Source organism: Homo sapiens, chromosome 5 (assembly GCF_000001405.40).
Source record: "Homo sapiens chromosome 5, GRCh38.p14 Primary Assembly".
Lineage (NCBI taxonomy): Eukaryota > Metazoa > Chordata > Mammalia > Primates > Hominidae > Homo > Homo sapiens.
Window position 1 is genome coordinate 88,901,802 of NC_000005.10, and position 19,228 is coordinate 88,921,029.

Genomic DNA, 19,228 nt, shown 5'->3' on the forward strand with positions numbered 1-19,228 from the left:
AATGAAAATTTTAAAAAATGGGATTTTAGATTAAGTCTACAATTCAGGCACAGCTAAAATGATAAATTTTAGTTATTTTGAAATATTTGAGCTATATTTAATATTATTTCCAGTAGCTTCATTTATACTTAAATAATTGACAGAGTCATAAACAATAGTTTGGCAGAAGCTTTTGGTTTGCTTATACTTAATGACAATGTAATAATTATAGCCAATGGTAATGCATGTGAAAACTTAACAAATACAATTCTGAAGTTGACATAAGAACACATGTTGTTCAGTTTTGCAGTAACTATCATCTTTAAAAGTAAATATTGTGATTGTTTAGGAATATAGTATTTAACAGACTAGAAAAATAAAAGTAAAATTTTCAAGTGCATGAAATACATACTAATTCTTTAAGAGACTAATGAAGTTATTCTAAAAATTTAGCGACTATAGTTACTCAGGTGTCTGAATCAATATAATGAAACATAATGAAGCATGACAAAATATATATGAAAGTAGCAGCTTGAAATCGCAATAAATACACATATATTTTTAAATGTTTTAATCATTTGAAATATATATGTAACAATTTATAATAAAAAGTATATTTGGGTTTTAATGTTTTAAAATAGGGGTTCATTAAAATGTTTGTGGGTAACGTTATGTTTTTAAAATATTAGCTATTTTGTTTGGGTGGAGTATTTCTGATAATTTTTTAAACCACAAATGTTTCATAATTTTCAACAGCAATTACAACAGTTTAAAAGAGTATGTTAGTTATACATTTGTGGCATATCCATGTCGTCACTGATTTAAAAATCATTTCAGGTACAGTGGTCATTAAAAAAGTCAGACCTTATTTTTTTTCCACTATACAATCATGTGTTAAGGATGTAGATTTAAAGTTATTTATGGGATCATCAGAATAAAACAATTGCCTCATAGTATTAGTAATTTATATTGGTAGGAGTCTTTTCTTTCTTAAGCACCAATTCTACCCCCCACAGCCCAGAAAATTGATTTTATCCATAATAATTTATAGCATTCTTCATCAATGTATACTGTTGTTTCTTTTAAATTCATTAGCCCATGTTGCTTGTGAATATGGAATTTGGTTATTAAAATGGTTTCATATGTTTACTACGTATAGGCTCTAGCTTTGAGCTGCTTACTTGCTTAAATAAATGTTTTCAATTTACTATAATACAACAATTTGTAGAGAAATGCTGTGAAGCATAGTTAAAAGAATGAATCCCTGAAATAGAGTCACTTTTTAAAAATATGTCCTAACATGTGGTCTCATTTTTTCATGTTTTGCATTAATTAAAGTCCTATTCTGAAAAAAATATTTTTGCCTAAACTTTTGAATTAACAAAATAAAAATAAAAAATATATAAATATACGAATTTTGGAAATCAGTGATGTAAAAACATGCTTTAATACCGTCTTGGTTGTTAATTTCAAAGATTTTTCTCAAAAGACGCTCTTTGTAAAGTAATGAGAAAATATTGCCACTTTTAATTATTAAATAATATTTACTACAATACAATTTACTTTTATTTAATTATTAAACATGCAATATATTTTAAATTATTTAATTATACATGCAATGTATGCTTTAAAAATGTATTAAAATAAAGTTAATTGCATGTTCTCTCTAATCATGTTCTTGTAGCATGCACACATTTTAAAAAACCCAGTACATGTAATTTTTGAAAATAGTATGTACCATTACACCTTTTTATTTGGGAGATTTATTAGAAAATAACTTTTTATTCAGAAAAGATTATGACAGAATTAGATAAAAAGGAGACTAAAATGTGTGTTAAATCGTGTAATATTATAAATGTAATTAACTCTTCATCTTCCAAATATTGAAAACAGTAATGAAAGAGACCAATATTTAAAAATAGAATCTTGTTTTAAACCTAAAAAAAAAACCTAAAAAATTGTTATATGGTAACAGCTTTACTTTCACACAAGGCAAACCCACTGTTGAGTGAGTTGGCTCTGATTCCAATGGTCTCATCAACTTTGTGAACACAGGTACCTCAGTGGTGCCTCTTTCAAGACAACAAAATTAACTTTTAGAGATTAAAAAATATATTTTGGCAATTGAAACTCACCAGTGCCTTTCTGCTTCTCCAGGAAGTTGTACCCGTCAGCACCTGCTGAGGGCTTTGTTGTCCAAACCCTGACAGGTAAAAAAATTCCTGCAGAATAAAGCCAGACCAGCTGGCTTTGAAGAGAAACCCCCCAGTTTGGGCTGCGTTTGCCTCCTCTCCTTTTCTATGAAGACCGAGGCTTTGCCCCCTTGATCGTCAAGCCGTGAGATGCGTGATCTCTCTGCACAAGTGTCTGGCAGGCCGAGGTGCACCTGTTTCTGTCACTCTGGAGTAAATTTAGCTGTAAAGGTATCACTGACAACCAGACCTTTGTCAGTGCTGGCAAAAGAACACAGAATTGCTTCCCTCCCCTCCCCCCTCCCGACCCCCTATGCTGCTAGTTCCAATGGAAAATATCCAATCGGAAGTCTATCCAAAAATCATTCCTAAAAAATGAAATTGCTTTCATATGGTATAAAAAAGTAAGTTTCCTCATTTCAAGCAGATTTTAAAATTACATTTCCAAGAATAATCTTGGAACAAGACAAGTTTTCGTTCAATTAATTGTGGCTGGAAACTTTTTAATGGAAACATAGCACATACTTACTTCATTTCAGGTTATTAAATTGTGTTAAGCATAAAAGTTATTTGCCATTCTTTGTTGCAGCTCATTTGTTCTTTTCGATTCTAAGAAATATTAGAAGGTTAAATAACTTATCACATAGGAGAGATTATTCATACTACCAAAATTAGAATGTGTGTAGTTCTGAGGGACTGAATGTCAAAATTGTATGCTCATAGCACTAAAACTATTGGGAATCTAGGATGCCACTGGAACATGTAAAATGGCAGCTAAGGTCTATGGAAACCCTTCATGTTTAGAAACTGGCTAAAGCTTGAGTTCTCTTATCTTTTGGTTAAGGTAAGGACGTTTATCATTTATGTGAATGTTTTAGACTAATTTCTTTATTAGTGGTTTGAGCAATATTCCTTTTGAGGAAAATAGAGAGGCAGGCAATATTCATTAATATGTCTGACATAAATAAAATAGTCAAGATATATAAAGCAGCCCAAGGAGTAACATCCTTAGCCAAAGCATTCTGAGCTTCTGCCTTAATAATTATGATTTCTTAAGTGTTGTTAAAAAGAGTTGTACAGAGTACCTGTTCTACCATATTATTGCTGTTTACAGGAGTTGGGTGTGATGAGAAAAGGAAAGCTGGGTCAAAATAAAAAATGCTTTGTAAAATAAACAAAGTTCCTATTTACTTACTATGTATAAACAGCCACTCACCAAGCCTCGTTTCTCCACAGGGCACCACTTTCAGATAAAAACATAGACCTGAATGGCATCATCCAGTATCCAAGGAAACCATGTAAGTACCTCTCTCACTGTGTACTTCTGTTATTCAGATCTTAAAACCTAGCTGAGTACTGAATAAGTGAGTGTTTTTATTTAATAATTATAAGGGAGGTACTTTTTAGGAGCCTGCTAAAAAGAAACAGGTTCTTTATTGTTATGTGCGTCATAACAAAACTCTCATGTTTTCACCATATTTCATAAAATTATGTGCTTAGTACCACTCTCTCCATCAATTCTCATTCTTAGGTACAAAACAGCTACTCAAAATCCTAATGAATTGGAAGTTTCAAACTTTTCCAAGACCCAAACAATGTTTCAGAGTCCTTGTGCCGGGAGTACTTTCTTAATTGTAGTTAAACTTGTTAAATTTTAAAAATTAAGAAAAAATTCCTTGGAAAATAATGGTTTATTGGTAAACATGTATGGCAATTTATTTGGCTGTAGGCTTGCTTGAAGAGTGAGCAGGTGAGCAAAGAGACAAGATTACATGTTTAAACCAAGAAAAGAATCTTGAAAGTAAGTGTAATGACCAAGATGCAAAAATCTGTTTGGGGAAATTGTTGGGAGGTTGGCACATCATTTTCTTTATCCCCTCCCCACAAACTAATGTACATTTCTGCAGCTAATATCAAAGTTTTAATTCATGTTCAGGAGCTATGAAATCTACTGTGGAAATTTAGTTTCTAAACAACATGCTACTCTGGAGAAAGACATTCCTAAAATATTTGAAATTTCTACTATTTCCGTACTTCGACTTTTTTTTTGTTATTTGTACTATCTCCTTTTAAAATTAAATTATTTTCAATGTGAAATGATTATTCATTATTGTTTATATACGTTTTCACGAAAACACTTAACATTTTCTATATACTCATGTAATTATAGACCTCGTTTTTTACCTTCTAAATTCACTATATGATTTACCTGCTCTTTAAATACAGACATATTACTTTTCATCGAGGGTGGTTTCAGAGTTTTTCATATATATATTTTTTTGCTTTTGTCACTCGTGTGTATTTCTACTTTTCCTCTGCAGCATGACTCCTTGCTAAGCATAAATGGTAGAGATTATCTCACAGTTTCTCTGAAGAATTAGAGAGGTCCTTCATGTTCAATAACTAACTGCAGGAGCATTTCACTTTATCACATAATTATGTCAAATTCTATTGTTTATGCATTTGCATATTTCTGCCTTTTAATATATGTTACCAAACACATCTTTCTGAATTGAGAAAAGTTGTCAGACTAAGGAATTCGCTGGAACTTTGGAAGGGCCTCCTCACCCAATAGGAAGACCTGGCTAGGAATTTAATTTTTTATGTAACTCACAAACTTCACAAGTGTGGAGTTTGAGACCGGAAGTGCTACCAAACTCCACTTTCAGTGGAGTTTGAGGCCAGAAGTGGGATTTCCTTGCTGCATAATAAAAGTGGGCTTTGGCTGAGTAAAATTGGAAGCAGAGAGGGCTTAGAATAGATGTTTATAAAGAAAGAAAATGCTAATTGAAGGGGAAGACCAGGTAATGTTATAATTCACTATTTTGAGAAAATGGAATCTTTTGAATTCATTCTCCTTGTAATACAAGGGAAATGAAAATCTATAGTACAATGCTCATGGCACAATTTTAACTGTTTACATTAAAATATAAATTTTTCCAGAAAAAAAATTTAAATTTGACATATTTAATGAAACCTCCTATAACAAAAGGAAAATTGCTATAGAAATAAATGTGTATATATATATATATATATATATACACACACACACATTTATGTATATATTTGAGATTTTCCATTCATCAGTAGTAACCTCTCTAATGTAGACCAACCTTGTTTAGTTGAACTTTCTGTGATAATGGACATGTTCCATAGCTGCACCATCCAATATGGTACTCACTAGCCATATGTGGCTATTGAGTACTTGAAACATGGCTAGTGCAACAGGGAAACTTAATTTTGAATTTTATTTACATTTAATTAATTTAAATATAAATAGCCCACATGTAACTAGTGGCTACCACATAAACAACCTAGCTCTGGTCTAGGTCACTTAGAAATGTGGGGAGAGTCAAATATGTATAGATTTGATATCACTATCAGTTATTTCTTATCTGTATCAACTACCATTGACCATTACTGAAATCATTAATGCCTGAAGAAGTATGCTCCAACATTAATTTAGCAGGATTTTGAGAAATACTGTCATGTGATAGGCCAAATTGTAAAGAGTACTATTTTGTTTTCATCAGAAATTAAATACCCTCTTGCAGAGATTTTCTATTTCTTTTGGTATTCTGTCATACAGTATAATTTTTTATGTTTACTTTAATATTTGAATTATTACAGTAGAATTTCTTTATGATACTTTCTCAGAGATGAATGCTTTTCATATGGTCGATAGGAAGACATTATAAAATTACTTTATAAGCCTGGGACAGCAACTTTTAAAATGGCCTTTGTAAACAAGACTACATGAAAAAGATAAATACACTAATGAAAATTCTAACTATGGGGACAAATATTTTTTAAAGTTTAGTTATAATTGGCTGGGTGTCGTGGCTCATGACTGTAATCCCAGAACTTTGGGAGGCCAAGGTGAGCGGATCATCTGAGGTCAGGATTCAAGACCAGCCTGACCAACATGGTGAAACCCTGTCTCTACTAAAAATACAAAATTAGCCGGGCATGGTGGCAGGCGCCTGTAATCCTAGCTACTTGGGAGGCTGAGGCAAGAGAATCGCTTGAACCCGGGAGGTGGAGGTTCCAGTAAGGTGAGACCACACCATTGCACTCCAGCCTGGGCAACAAGAGTGAAACGCCATCTCAAAAAATAAATAAATAAATAAATAAAATAAAAATAAAAAAAGGAAAAAGTTTTCTTACAAGTTCTGCAATGCAACTTGGCAATACAACTTGGCAAATAATTCCAAAAATGTAATCGGCCTCAAAAAGTGCTCCCTAGCCTTGTTTCTCCAAAAGCTGACTCTACTTCCAAAGCACACATCAGAGTTTAAATCTCCCATGACCTTTTCAGGCGTTTAGTGGAAATGATCATTAGGATTTGTGATGATACTTTTATAATAATGCTAGACAGTAATATTATAGATAGGATAATTGTGTATAAAATAATATTGAAAATTTTAAATTTGTATAGATTTTAAAAGTTAGTAAATCCATATCTTGAATGCTGATTATTTGTAGGACATTGAACCTAGAGACTCTGGGAAATATTTTTTTAAATGGGAGACATCCGTCCTTTTAGGAACTCCATTTATTGGACCTGGGCATGTTCTTTTGGAAGGATAGGATTCAGATAAGCGAGAGAGAGGAGACTTCCTTTGGCAGAACCTTGGACAAGCTACTGAGTGTTCCTTCTGCAGCGAAACAATAGGATTCTGGATAAAACATACTTTCTAATGAATTACTTGACTTCAGGAAACTTTTTTAACAACTCTAAAGATCCTTCTTCCTTGCCTCAGAATGAAAAAATTAAAAAGCATGAGGTGAAACTGCTGTTGAAGAGCAATAAACAAACAGGAAAAGTGGGATGGACAATTGAATTGTATGGGTTGTATTTATTTGCAAAGATACTGTTGGAAGTATAGCAGTCACATGCTCTATTAGACTGCTCCTAAACCGAGCCTTATTTGAAAAAAAAAAAACAAGGAGAACCAACAACCACATTTGTAGACCCAGTTTTTTGGTGTCCTTTTTTTTTTTCCTTTTGGTATCTTCAGTTAAGTAGCCAACCACTTTCATATTGTCAGATCTGTTTTCAGGAAGAGGGCCTACTTTTGCTCAGAAACCAGTGTTCTGTGTGGAGAAAACATGGTTCTCCATTGAAGGAATCCCACAAATCTCTGATATCTGCATGTTTGAGAAACTACTTTCATTCAGACACATGGACTGTAACTTCTGAGTCCTTAACCACCACCTCAAATTAGTATGTATTTGTCTACTTTTAAGTGTATTTAACTTTTTGTTATGAAAATTCAGAATATATTAGAAAAGTAGAGGGAAAAGTATAATGAAATTTTGTATAACTATACCTACCTTCAACAGCTATCATCTCATGGGCCAGGTTGTTTCATAATTGTTGTTTCCACTTTCCACTTCCACCTCAAATTATTTTGAAGCGAATCCCAGACATGACATCATTTTATCTGGTAACATTTCAGTCTGTATCTTTAAAAGATAAGATTTTTTTAACTTAAAAATGAACCACATCTAGAAAATTAACCACACTTAAAAAGTCAACATTTTCTTACTATTCTCAAATATACAAAACCAATATTCAAAATTTTCTAGTTGTCTCCTAAAGTTTTGTATTCTTTACTGTTTGAAGCAGGATACAAATAAGGTCCATACACTGTAATTGGTTAATATGTCTCTTCTTTTAATCTATAGGTTTATGTTTATTTTTCTTTGTTTCTTAAGAAACTGGATTGTTTGTGCTGTAGAGCTTTCCATAGTCTGCATTTGCTGATGCTTTCCTGCAGAGTCATTTAATGAGCTCCTCAGCCTTGTTTCTTACCTGTTAATGGGTAGTGAAGACTCTAGAAACTTGATGAAATTCATTTAGGGGATGAGGGGCAAGACTAATGGCTCTTTCTCTTTTTGTGACATTAGCAGGTGTTGTTGATCATTGCCTACATCTATTTATTCCTTAGAGCTTGAAAAATGGCAATATAATTGTCATTTCTGGTTTATTTATTGGGTGGAATGCTTCTATAAAGATAAACTAGTTTGTTAGAGTTTCAATTTATATAAGAAAATCAGGATGGATGCTTTATTCTCTCCCTTTATCAGTTCTTAATATAATGTGTGGTTCCTTAACATCCTCTAAAGTTTACCAATGGTTTAAAAAATTTCATTATGAACATTAATGCACTTCAAGCTATTGCAGTTATCGTACTTATGAATGCCCAGTTTGCCACATCTCTGATTACTCAAAGTTTATCTCAGTTGGTTCCTCTGTGTTTTTGAAAGAACCTCAAGTTTTTGAGAGCTTCCAGGATAATTGGTGTGACAAAATATAACAGGCTCATCTTTAATATTTCCTTTCCCAACCTGGAATCAGGCAATTATCCAAGAAATTTTAGTTCTTTTTTTTTTTTTTTTTTTGACTTGGAACTAGTACTTGAAAACCGTAATCTTAAAATTAGTGAGCTCATTGCTACTGACTTTGTCCTTAATCTAGGCCCTTTCAAAGGAAAGAGCTATAAAAAGTGTGTGTATGTGTGTGTGTGAGAGTGTGCGTGTGTGTGTTTAATTTTAAGATTAAATACATCAGGAGCTCACACTAATACTTCCTATTAATATACAGGCCAACAGGATTTTAATTTAGTCACATAAATCTTGCATCATATCAATGTCCTTTCTTCCCAGCTGACCATCCTACAATCTTAATTCTTAATGATAGTAGCGTACTTATTTGCTTATGCTACAAATACACTTACAACAGGCTCAGAATAATAATACCAAGACTACTACCATCAGTAGTGATGTACACATCCTGTGTACACCCTGTGTACAGCCCCCTTCTTCTCTTTAAAGATGTATGTATTACTGAGGTTTTAAGTCATGTAAAATTGTTTCTTTTGGTGTGATTATGCCACCAGCTAGATATAGATAGATTCACTTGGCTCTTTTTGCTTTCAATTTTTTGGGATTAAAATGTTAGCCAGGAGAGACCAGAGCAGTGCATAGTCTACCTCATTTCTCACTACTGAGGTTCTACCTAATTGCATATGAATTAAGAGATTTTCCATTCTGACTGGTGAGAAAAGGCCTATTTCCAGCCGTAGGAAGGTGCCAGGTACTGTTCCCCGTATAATTATTTCCGATGCTTCTTTCCTCAGCCTTGGGTAGCTTCCTCATGCACATATCCAGATCTCTGAGACTCTCTGCAGATTTCAAGAGATTGTTGTCTGTGCATCTGCTCTCTCCTGAACTCTGTCCTGTAAGCTCTAGCTGCTTTATTATCCCATATCTTTAGCTCTGTTTCCTCAATTCATGGAGTTTGCCTCCCTTGAGTTAGTTGCCCTTCCTGTGCCACTGCTAAGAAACCTTCACGGGCTTAAGCCAGAGCCGTCATAGGATTCACCTCCCTCAGGGATCAACGTCGTTTGTGGTCTGATAGCTCATGTCTTGACAACCATTGTTTCGTATATTTTGTCGGGGTTTATTTTTGGTTGTTTCAGGAAGCAGGGCACATCCAGTCCCTTTCAGTCCATCTTGGCTAGAAATGGAAGTCTCCCCAGTTGTTTCTTAAAAAGGTCAGCTATAGCTTGTTAATCCAAACAGTTTATTAATATGAAGCTCAATATTTAAATTAAATTTAAAAATATTCTGATTGATGTGTGTTTGTTCGTGTGTCAGAAATCTTTCTGAAACACTGCTGTAGTCTTCAAACTACCAGTGCCACTTCAAGACCTCTTCTTGGCCTATTTCCTCCCAACTAGGTTTCCCCCAACAGATGAGTCCTTTTTTATTTTCTGCCACTTAGAGGCAATTTTTTGGTTCACTCATTCATTTCTTTAACAGACATTTTTGATTACCTATTATGTGTCATATGAAGTGTTGAGAATACAATGGTGAATAAAACACCACTCATTCCCTTAAAAATGTTGCAATTTAATTTTCACACAGAAATTTGAACATGAACGTTCACAGCAACTTTATTTGTAATAGCACCAAACTGGAAATGCCCATATGCCCATCAGTGGGTGAATGGTTGGACAGACTGTGATATAAGCATGCTATAGACTACAGCAATAAAGACTAACAAACTGTTATTATGGGTAACAACCTGGATGAACCTCAAGGAAATTGTGCTGAGTGAAAAAAAAAACCTGTCTTAAAAAGATACATTACTGAATGATTTCATTTATACAACCTTCATGAAATAAGATCATTATGGAGAAAGATTAGTGGTAGCCAGGGGTTAGGGAGGGGAAGGGGAGAGGGTGGGGTGTGCATAAAGTGGTAGCACTAGGGAGTCTTATGGTGATAGTACAGTTAAGTGTCTTGATTGTGCTAGTGGTTACTCGAAGCTACACATGTGATACAATGACATAGAGCTATACACACATACACAAACAAAAATAACTGTATGTATAGCTGGTGAAATATCTATGGATTCTATGAAAAGCTCCATGGATTGTACTATTGTCAGTTTCCTGGTTTTAATATTGCAGTTTTGCAAGATGTTAACATTGAGAATGAGGACTGGATGAAGGGTGCACATGACCTTCCCGTCCATTTCTTTGCATTTTTTTTGTGAAATTTTAATTACTTTAAAATAAAAAGTTAAAAAATATCTTGCAATTTTGTGGAGGGTACAAAGAACTAAACAGCCAATTATAATAGCCAATTGTATACTACCTTTCACTGAAAATTTGTATTAATTTTTATTTTCTGAAATAATAACTGGTTGTTCACTAAATCCTTTAAAATTTCTTCTAAGAAGACATTCCAGTGTATGCCAGTAGTATAGTTGACAGAGTATTTCTCTCTCATCTTCTGGTAATTTGTGGTGACTGTGTAGTCCTGATTTTTATTATGGCCATGGTCTTTTTTGTATCCTTTCCTATCTCTGTCTCTATAGCGGAGAAAACCATTAGTTATTTCTTGCACTTATTTTAGCAAAGGGGAAGTAATACATACATATGGGGGAATACCTTGTTCCCACTCCCAAGTCATAAGACAACGTCTCTACTACTCTTGTCTCTTAAAGCTTCCCCATCAGGTCATGCTTCTATTTGCAGGACATGTATTAGCAGTAGTGCACTAGCAAAATAGTTGTGTTGATTCTCCTCTACCCCCACCAAAGTAATGTGCCCTCCTTTTATAACCATACAAGGCAAACATTTTGTAAGAATGAGCATGTATTACTACAAAGCAACAGGAGGCTCATGTTCTCACAACATGTTCAAATGTAAGCACAAAGACCCACTCCAGATTTAAATATCAATGAGTTTTGGAATACACACAGCTTTGGCTCATTTCTGGCCCTATTCTGCCATCAGCATGTATCAGCCAAAGCTTTACTCTGACCCATTTAGAAATAGCCTTTGTACGTGAAGATGAACGCATAGTTGTAGTGGGTTTTTTACATAGTCACTTATTACTATAGCTTATTTTAATTTAGTGACAGATTGTCATATATTTTGAGTTTTCTCAAGTTATAAAAGTTTTTTTTCTTTCTTGGAACTAAATAGAATATATATTATTTCTGATATGTTGAGGGAAATTTATATTGGTTTTGTTCATATTACTAGAAAAGTCACTCAATATGAATTTGTGCTCTTGTGACATTGTGACAACTCAGTTGTCCTAGAATTTTTATTAGGCTGTTTCTAAATTTCACAAATCCATGAATAGGTGAGTTTACAATATATAGACTGGAAGTACTTTATTTTTAAAATTTTTTTCCCCAAAACTCACCCCCTCTTCTCAGTGTCAGGAAAACCTCTTTGGAGTTCTATTGGACTAAGTGTCTGAGTCAGTGCTTATGTGGGTTGCTGGAATATTTACCAGGCAGAAAACATTCTTGAAGTTTTTAATTTGATCTGTCTCCTTGAAATAAATATCACGAAAAGTATATATAGGTACCTTTGGTTTGTGTCCTTTACCTTGAAGAGTATAGCAGCCAATTTGAAATTGCCTAGGTCTACTTTGTGAAATTCACCACTTAGTTCTACCTTTGATCTCATGCTTCTTTTTAAAAAATTGATGAATTCATTGGGTCTTGGGCCTTTTTTTTTTAATTTTGCTTATATAGTCATAATGTACTTTACATTTAACAGGTCATTTATTTTTGATTCAGTCCCAAGACTTTTCCTCATTTTTTGTTGTAGTCAGTTGTGTACTACTTTTCACTTAAAATGTTTATTGATTTTGATTATCTGAAATGAAACCCATTTTTGTGCTAAATCTTTTAAAATCATTCTAAGAAAATAGTCAAGTTTATGTATACTTCACTTAGAATATTTCTGATAATTTGTGGTGACTCTGTGGTCCTGATTTTTATATGGCCATGATCTTTCCTGTGTCCTCGTCTTCTCATATCTCTCTGTATAGCTGAAAAAATTATTAGTTATTCCTTGTTGTTAATTATTTCTTTAAAATGCAGTCATAAGGATTCTCAAAGTTACACAACGTTCCACAAATTCTATACTTTTTCTACAACCTTAATTAAGATTGCACCAGTGCTAAAATGGATATACACAACCATACTATTAAAAATATTACAAGCATTTATGGAGAGGAATAGGAATTAACAGGAAGCAGTACGGTTTCCATAGATTTGGAAAGCCACCGAAGAGGAATTTTTTTTTTTTTTTTTTGGACAGAGTCTCACACTGTCACCCGGGCTGGAGTGCAATGGCGTCATCTTGGCTCACTGCAACCTCCGCCTCCCAGGTTCAAGCAATTCTCCTTGCCTCAGCCTCCCTAGTAGCTGGGATTACAGGCGCCCGCTACCATGCCCAGCTAATTTTTTTTTGTATTTTTAGTAGAGACGGGGTTTCACTATGTTGGCCAGGCTCAGAAGAAGTATTTCTTTTAAAGTTCTTAAAGCGTTGATTTTGAAACAAGAGTTGTATAGGCACCACTATAATCCCTCCAGTTTATAAAGAGAAGGCATTTGCCACATCTTCCTTCCCTCCTCTGCTTCTGCCTGAACAAAAGTGTGCTGAATCTACTCCCACCTGCAGCAAACCTATCAGTCCCTGGACCAAACTCAGCAACAATAGGAAGCATATTTGGAGCCTTTGACTCTCTTTTCCTCATTGGGTACATATAGTGGCCCTGCTACTACTGCTGGGCTCCCGTATTATTGCTCATTCTGAGCTGGAATCTGTGCAGTTCACTAGATCTGGGAGGCCATGATTCCGAATTATATCCTAGGGGCCAGTGTGGCTCTATAGATATGGAAATTGTCCTCTTCTGTCTACACGGGACTAGGCCTCTGCTAAGTTTCCTTGGATCTTTGGATGCTGTCACTATGCCCTAATTCCACTCTGTGGTGTTTCATGAAATAGAATCAGATCTGATGATGGCCACCATCTGCCTGATTTCTAAGTATTCCTGATAGTCTCTGCTACTTCTGCCTGATATGATACCCTATTACTTACAGCTGCTTGCATGACTTCAGTGCTCTTTCTGCCCTTTGAATATGGTGCCTTTCTGTCTTATGGATCTGTGGTTGTCAGTTGTGAATAGTTTCTGCTGTATATTTGTGATCCCAAATGTGTGTCCTGGCTGGTATTGCTAAACATCCCTTGTGCTTCACACCTGTATCAGAGAGATGGGCCTCAGACATAATGAGTCTTTCCAAGCTCTGAAGGGTGGCATCTCACTGATTGCACCATAGTATGAGTCTCATTCACTCTCTTGTTTCTCCATAGCTCTTCTTGGTTCCAAAACGCTATCTTGGTAACTTATGATAATAAAACCATTAAAATAAGGATTAAAACAAAGGCACGTAATAAAAGGGCGTAGGATAAAACTAAACCAGAAAACCAGGACCTCCCTCAAAGATCCTGCAGTTGAATAACTTGAATTTTAGGCTCACCTTTCTGCCAGTTGGAGAAAAAGAGAGGCATAGAAATGATGCCACCTACTATCAGATCAGAGTGGGGCAGGAGATTCCAGTTCGTCAGGAGAAATGTTTATGTTTTTCCTAGCTATGGGGAAGCGTGTGTTGAGTAGCTTATTATTTTTATATCAAATAATCATATTAAAATGCCAGTGCATCCTTCCTTTCTAGCATGATATACTTCAAAAAATTATTCTTCTTCACAATGCCTTTAGACATGCACTAATCCAAGAGAAATATGATGTGAGCCACATATATAATTTTAAATTTCCTAGTATCCACAGTAAAAAGTAAAAAGATATATGTGAAAATAATTTAATAATATATGCATTCTAGTCAATATACCCCCAAATCTTATTATATCAACAGGTGATCGATATAAAACTATGGACGTATTTTACATTATTTAAAAAATAAGTCTTTGGGCTGGGCATGGTGGCTCACGCCTGTAATCCTAGCACTTTGGGAGGCCAAGGCGGGAGGATCACAAGGTCAGGAGATCAAGACCATCCTGGCTAACACAGTAAAACCCCGTCTCTACTAAAAATACAAAAAAAAAAAAAAAATTAGCCAGGCGTGGTGGCACGTGCCTGTAGTCCCAGCTAGTCAGGAGGCTGAGGCAGGGGAATCGCCTGAACCTGGGAGGCGGAGGTTGCAGTGAGCCGAGATTGCGCCACTGCACTCCAGCCTGGGCAACAGAGCGAGACTCTGTCTCAATAAAAATAAAATAAATCTTTGAAGTGCAGTGTGTATTTTACACCAATGGCACAACTCAGTTTGAGAAAGTTACATTTCAAGTACTCAATAGCCACATGTGGTCAGGGGCTACTGTATTGCAGTGTGGCCTTCCACAATGGGGCAAGTGGTGCAACGGTAGGAGGGCACCTCCTGATTGTTAAAATATTCTTGTGATACTTGCAGTCTTGAGATTCCTCAGCTACAATTACCATCAGGAACCTTGAAAGGAAATTTCTTCAGTGTTCTTCATACTGAATGGCCATTAATTCAGAAGTTATAATTTTTTTATGTCACCAAACTAACTTGATGAGATGAACAAACAGATTGCTGTTTTTAAGAAAGTGAGTAACTTACTCTGAAAACCTCTGGACCTTTACTTTCAATGCCTTCATCACTAGTGAATTCACTAATTTATGTAATCAGGGAAATTCTCTTGAACTATTTTTAATGGCACCTACTTCCTTAAGACTTCCATGATTTCACCTGCTTTCTTTCCTGAGGCTTCAAAGGGAATCAGTTTGTAATTTTTCAGTGATATTCATGACTTTGTGCTTGGCATGCAGTTACTTGTTAATTTCTTTTTTAGCTTCTTGTTGAGAACTGAGACTTGTTGGCTGTCCTCCTCCCTTTTAGTGCCTTGCATGGTGTAAAGTGTAGTCAGTAACGTTTGTTGAATGCACATGTATGTACCTTCTCTGATTTAAGGTCTGGAAGGCAGGACGTGGTTTTCTTTTTTAATATATCCTTTCATATATTTTTAGCTGCTAGCATAGTTTGGTTTATTCAGTTGGTGCTTAATAAATTCTTGCCAGCTGGACTCATAACTTATAATTAGCCTCCCAAGTCTTAGTCCGCAACTATGTTCATCAAGTTGTTAAATTACATATTTGAAAAAAAATCACCATTTTCATTTAGAGGAACAAATACAAACAAATATATCTACCAACCTACCTTGCTGGTTCTATGAAACCTAACTGACTCTATGAAAAAAATGAAAAAGTTAACTAAGAGTGTACTACTACTTTTAGTTAAATGCCAATGAGGTATAATATGTAGTTGTCAGAAGAAAAAATATAAGTATTGTTATAGTTCATAAACATTATGATAAAATAATTTAGTTCATGATATTTGAATCATTCAATTCTTTCATTCAACAAACTGAACACCTATTATGATTAACGCATTGTGTTGGGCACAGGGGACAAAAAAAGATAAGTTTGACCCTCAAGTTGCTCACATTTTAGTTGGAAAGTCAGATCATGCCAAAGAATTCTCTAAAACATTTGTAAGTTTAGAGCAAGCTACTAATGGGAGAAAGGCTCAGTGAAGTCTACTTTTTATTATGTTTTCCTTATATGGTGTTGGCTAATAAGTATTTGGGGAATAAATGTGTAGATAGTGGTCTGTTTAAAAGAAGTTACATTATTTGGCATTTATTACATTTTATTTATTTTCTTAATTGATTAATTGCAGTTAAATTACCTTAGCATGCAAGAACAGATTTTACAGATTTTGACGTATGATTAAGCAGCATAAAGCATAACTAATGTGGTTTTAGTGGCATGCTATGTATTAAGGCATGAAATTTAAATACACACTTCATCAAGATTTTTTTGCAGTTACAGTGAATTAGAAAGATTCCGATCTTGGAACTCCCTCCAACTCCTGTGTTAGGGAGAGGCAGGAATTTTATAATTGAGATTATTACAGAAGAGTGTCCTGACATAACTGATTGACTTTAGTGATGTGCCTTGAAAGTTCAAATTCAAGGTGTGCACTTATTTCAGTCAGCTTGTCCTGAATGTTTAAATAAGAAATACTATTTCTGGGTATTCTGAATAACTCGTTGTACATTTATTCCTAATAGTGAGCATTTGGACTAATGATGGATTACTAATGAGCATGTAAATGTACCACCTGATTACATTAATATATGATCTTCCATGACGAGGTCTGAAATGAACATTTCTAATATGTATTTCTTTTCCCCAAATGGCACTGTGGTGTATACTGAGTGGGACTGAGACAAGGGTGTTCTTAAGAGCCACTGATTTAGTCAATTATCAAAAATCACATTATAATAAATGCTGTTCTAAGAATTTTGATTAACCTTTAAATAAATGTTACTTTGGAGAAAAAAAATCTGCCAAATGCATTAATGATAAATTGTGAAGTGGTAGTAATTGCAAGTATGGCTTTATAGATAATATAGTTAATTGATACCACCCTCTCAAGCATATACAGCACATCAGCTGCTATGAGCCTGGGTGATAGTAATGGTGTCTATGGCATTTATGATGCATTGAGGATGACATGAGTAAAATGAAAACTTAGAGCACTCACCAGGGTCATTCTTTCATGGACATCTGATGCCCATGGTCAAGTAAATTTTTAATGACACATAGTCACTACACACCTTTCAGCCTTCTGGAGAGGTAAGTGTACATTGATCTGTCCTAATTAGCCTTGCAGAGTACTTCAGACATCCCTGCAGGAACACTATTATTTAATAAAATAGGAGCTGTTTTTACACAAGCTCAGCACTTGCTCCTTGGATAGCTGTATTGTTTTTTTGCTCTTCTCTCTTTTTTTTAAAACTCATATCTCATGTCTCATGTTCGTCTTTGTCTTTGACAATGTAGTATTAATGCAGCTGCATGAAAAAGTAAGCAAAATTAAGGAATGAGTCTGATTATGAAGGTTCATTGCTATTATAAGAACCCATAGAGCACACATCCATTCCTTCCCTAATGTATAGGGTGCTGACTGCATAAAATTGCTTGGAAAGACATTAAGGATATGCAGGCAATTCTGTTGAGGTATGCAGTGGGATGCTTTTATGTTTGGTGATAAAGGTGGCTCTGGAATATCTGATTTCATAAAAAAAAAAAAAGTTAGCCAGACAGTTTGTACTGGTTGTATACTGGAACATTTATCTAGGGACATCTGTTTTTTTTTCTTTTTTTTTGAGATTTTAATTTTTATCTGGGTTTAGGGTCTATAACAAAGAATCCTGAGTTGCTCATCTTTGGAGCAAATAAAATCTTATTTATAATTCGCTCATAGCGCTTGGTGGTAGAGGAATTTCTAATGTAGATGTTTATTATAATTATGAAGTTAGTTCCAAATGTTATACAGAACAGATGGTGTTAAATCCTATCCTAGGGTTAAAGTCTACAACCAGAACTTCTTATCACTTGGTGGACATGGTTCACTGATTACTGGATGTATAATATTTACTCTTAATAGAATGCAACAAGAATGAATCTTTGTCAAATTCTTGGTCTGACCATTAATGAGACTATCTGTATTTGCCCTTGTGTACAGGGAAACCAGCCATCTCTTTCTGCTGTTTCATGGTCACAGTTGGCTATCAGCTCCACAAGTGTCCTTGTTACCGCTTACCGATACCTATAGTTGCATAATTAGAGATTACAATGCTTGGATTTTTCAAACATCCCTAGAAATGACAATACTTTGATTAAGTCAGGTCATTAGAACTCAGTGTGAATAGGCGGACTAGCTCTTTCTGGAGAACAGATTTTGAGAGTGAAGGGGCAGAGAAATGTGAAGACACCGAGTCACTAGAGAGTGAGAGGGACTTCCTTGTTGGCATGAGGGAGGTAGTGGGGACATGATGAAAGACAGTGAATGAGGAGGTTTAGAACAGCACAGGACAAGTTTTACTTCTTTTTTTAGTTTTCTTTTTAATTTACTTTAAGTTCTGGGATACATGTGCAGAGCGTGCAGGTTTGTTACATAGGTATATATATGCCATGGTGGTTTGCTTCACCCATCAACCCATCATCTAGGTTTTAAGCCCCGCATGCATTAGGTATTTGTCCTAATGCTCTCCCTTCCCTTGCCCCTCACCCCTTGACAAGCCTTGGTGTGTGATGTTTCCCACCCTGTGTCCATGTGTTCTCATTGTTCAATTCCCACTTATGAGTGAGAACATGCAGTGTTTGATTTTCTGTTCCTGGTTTAGTTTGCTGAGAATGATGGCTTCCAGGTTCATCCATGTCCCTGCAAAGGACATGAACTCGTTCTTTTTTATGACTGCATAGTATTCCATGGTGTATATGTGCCACATTTTCTTTATCCAGTCTATCATTAATGGGCATTTGGGTTAGTTTCAAGTCTTTGCTATTGTAAATAGTCAAGCTTTATTTTCTTTACAACATGCAAAACCCTCTAAAAATGTCAGGCTTTCTGAATAGAGTTTTAATCCACCTTTAAAAATTGTGGTTGAAAACAATTTGGTTTCAGTTATATTTGGAAATAAAGTTGATAGTTTCATTGTTATCTGATATTTTAATTAAATTCCCTAGTTCATTTATTCGTGAAACATTTATTGAATCATTATATGTGTTAAATAGTGTGTTAGATGCTGAGGAAAAAGGCGTGCTTCCCATCCATACTGTTTTATCAG

At 34.9% G+C, this 19,228-nt stretch overlaps 1 protein-coding gene and 1 long non-coding RNA gene across 31 annotated transcripts in view; one reads left to right on the forward strand and one right to left on the reverse strand.

Annotated features, from left to right (window-relative positions):
* The window catches only part of MEF2C (myocyte enhancer factor 2C), a 186,989-nt gene extending 184,685 nt beyond the window's left edge, over nt 1-2,304 (reverse strand). For all 22 annotated transcript variants that reach the window (XM_011543396.4, XM_017009478.3, XM_047417190.1 and 19 more), the window contains exon 1: nt 2,115-2,304. The gene's annotated coding sequence lies outside the window, so the exon portion shown is untranslated. The remainder of the gene's footprint in view (nt 1-2,114) is intronic.
* The window catches only part of MEF2C-AS1 (MEF2C antisense RNA 1), a 584,252-nt gene that overhangs the window by 18,472 nt on the left and 546,552 nt on the right, over nt 1-19,228 (forward strand). For 7 of the 9 annotated variants that reach the window (NR_136218.1, NR_136219.1, NR_136222.1 and 4 more), the window contains exon 2: nt 3,408-3,469. This is a non-coding gene — a long non-coding RNA (MEF2C antisense RNA 1). Of the gene's footprint in view, nt 1-3,407; nt 3,470-3,900; nt 3,973-19,228 lie in introns of all 9 variants that reach the window. The other 2 variants (NR_109941.1, NR_109940.1) reach the window with 1 other exon arrangement.